Source organism: Homo sapiens, chromosome 9, assembly GCF_000001405.40.
Source record: "Homo sapiens chromosome 9, GRCh38.p14 Primary Assembly".
Taxonomy (NCBI): Eukaryota; Metazoa; Chordata; class Mammalia; order Primates; family Hominidae; genus Homo; species Homo sapiens.
The window spans coordinates 88,932,227-88,935,083 of record NC_000009.12 but is presented as its reverse complement, the minus strand read 5'-3'; the positions used below and the strand labels follow the sequence as shown (position 1 = coordinate 88,935,083).

General features: G+C 43.5%; 1 annotated feature.

Annotated features, from left to right (window-relative positions):
* Window positions 1,976–2,270: an enhancer, noted in NCBI's record as "tiled region #12308; HepG2 Activating non-DNase unmatched - State 21:Repr, and K562 Activating DNase matched - State 5:Enh". NCBI's record gives its function as "activates a minimal TATA promoter and a strong SV40 promoter by Sharpr-MPRA in HepG2 and K562 cells {active_cell/tissue: HepG2 | K562}" and the evidence as "EXISTENCE:reporter gene assay evidence [ECO:0000049][PMID:27701403]".

Here is a 2,857-nt window from a genome sequence, read left to right as displayed (position 1 = left end):
CGATGAAGCAGGAAAATCACTGATAAAAGAATGCTCCTCGAGAATCTGGGTCTTGAAGGATGGTCTCCACTCTCTTGGAAATTCCACCCAGGCTCATTCCAAACTGTCTTGGGTGATTGAACAACTAGTGATTTGGTTACCGGACTCTGCTGCACTGTGAGGCTCTTTCATAGGAGGGAAAGCCACTACTGTTTTTTGGATTTAGACTCAACACAACTGTCCTGAGGGAGGTGATGGAAGGGACAGGTGTAGTGGCTGCCCGTACCTGGGACCATGGTCCCACCTTTGTTGGAGCCATAGTTCTTTAATAACAGCTATTTTCTTTGGGTTATAAACCTTATAACCCTAAGATTTTGTGTTCAGTATAAAACAAAGAATAACAAAAATTATGATGAAGAAGATAAAAGTAATCTATTGTTCAACTACTCAAAATAAATGCTGAAATATTTTTTAAAAAATTTTCCTGTGGAATTTTCCAAAAACTGGGAGGTAGTATGGCCTGTGGTTCCAGGTGTCCCTGGGAACCACCTTGCTGTGTTTGATTTCTGTTTCTTCAGTGAGGAACTGTGTGGCCTTTGGTAGTTTTCTTAATTCTACTGATCCTAATTGTCTTGATGTATCAAATGGGGATAAATATACCACGTATTAGTTTTCTAGAGCTGCTGCAAGAAACCACCACAAACTAAGTGGCTTAAAAGAACAGAAGTTTATTCTTTTACAGTTCTAGAGTCCACAAGTTTGAAGGCTCTAAGGGAGGAGGCCACCCCTCATATTGTCTTATGCCCAATTTCTGCCTCCAAAGAAGGAAGAAGTAAAAACTAAAAGGCAAAAATGAAATCCACAGGCAGACAGCCCAGCGCTGCACCCTGGCCCTGGTAGTTAAAGATCGACCCCTGACCTAACCGGTTATGTTATCTATAGATTCCAGACATTGTTTGGAGAAGCACTGTGAAAATCCCTTTCCTGTTCTGTTCCGTTCTGATTACCGGTGCATGCAGCCCCCAGTCACTTACCACCTGCTTGCTCAATTGATCAAGATCCTCTCACACGGACCCCCTTAGAGTTGTAAGCCCTTAAAAGGGACAGGAATTGCTCACTCAGGGAGCTCGGTTTTTGAGATGTGAGTCTTGCCAAAGCTCCTGCCTGAATAAAGTACCTTCCTTCTTTAACTCAGTGTCTGAGGGGTTTGTCTGCGGCTCGTCCTGCTACAGCTCTAGGGGAGAATCCTGTCTTGCCTTTTTGCTAGCTTCTGGTGTCTGTTAGCAAGCCTTGGTGTGCCTTGTTTTCAAGGTGAATCATCACCCCAATCTCTGCCTCCATCTTCACACAACCCTGTCCCCTATGTGCCTGTGTCCAAATTTCCCTCTTCTTATAAGCACACCAGTTATCACGTTACGACCTATTCCCTAATCCAGCATGAACTTAACTTGATTGCTTCTGCAAAGACCTCATTTCCAAGTAAGATCATAGTCACAGGTCTGCACAGACATGAATTTTGGGGACACTAATTCAACCCAGTATATACCTTCCTCATAGGGTTGTTTCAAGAAATAAATGAAATGCTTGTTCCAAAGCACCTAGCACTGTGCATGACAGGACATAAAATAGCCACTCAGTAAAAGACAGCTTTAGCCAGCTGTGGTAGTTCACACCTATAGTTGGGAGGCTGAGGTGGGAGGATCACTTGAGCCTAGGAGTTTGAGGTAGCCTGAGCAACATAGCAAGACCCTGTCTCTAAAAAGAAAAGAAAAGAAAAAAAGAAAAGTGGAAAGGAAGGAAGAAAGGAGGAAGGAAAGAAAGGAAGAAAAAAATGTAAACAGCTCTATATCCACTGAATAGAGCTCAATATTTAAAAAATAAATAAATGACAGTTTTTTTTAGCATTCCAGTTAAAAATATCTATCTATATATAACCATCTCTATAGCTATATTTCCATAAAACATGCCAGAGGTGTGGTGTGGTGTTGAGACAGCAAAATGCCCAGGAAGATAAAAAGGGGTCCGCTGCGAATCTCCGACCAGCCCCGCGAGTGTTTGCATGGATGCTTTTGTGCAGATGAGGGAACCTGCCCAGGGCTTGTCTGAGCATGCTCACAGCAGACCGGTGCCCAACATGCGCACTGGGGGAAGTAGGTGGAGCCACGGGGAATTCACGCGGTTTGCAGCGGGGAGGAGCCTGGCTTCTCCTGTTCTTGTGTGGTGACCTGGAATTCAATTTGTGAGATGGAAAACCTGCTAGCAGGACTCTCTCTTGCTTTGCTGAGAGTTATTTTTCCCTTTTCCTTTTCGCCAAGTGAATTCCGTTCCCCTCACCTTTCAAAGTGTCTGCATGCCTAACTTTTCCTGTCATGTGACAAGAACCCGTTTTTTTTTTTTCTACAACAGTGTGAACTGGAAAATATGATACATATGTATGTATACACTGTATAGTACTAATTAGAGCTGTGCTTCATGAAGCCTCTGCCCTGCTTGTTAGAATAACTGCTCTATTTTTCCTTATGCTATTAAAACGTAACATAAAATATCAAACACCTGAGTTTTGACGTCTATCGTTTTCCACTATATGAATGCAGTCATTTACCTAACGCTTCCCCTGCTGTCTGACAGCTGATGTGTTCAGGCCCTTTCTAGGTATCACTGCTTCTGCAATGAACCCATCAATGCTAAGCCCCATGCAGACACATGGGAGACACATTTGTGCCCTGGCCATCCCCAGAAAGGCAGCAGCATGTCATGTGCTTCCGTTCCTTGCCTGTGCCTCTTATTCTGCTTGTCTTCACCATTTGTGACATTTGCTTCACCTGAAGGTTTTAATTCTCACCCCGTCTCCAGAATAAGTTTTAAAGGATCCCCCTCA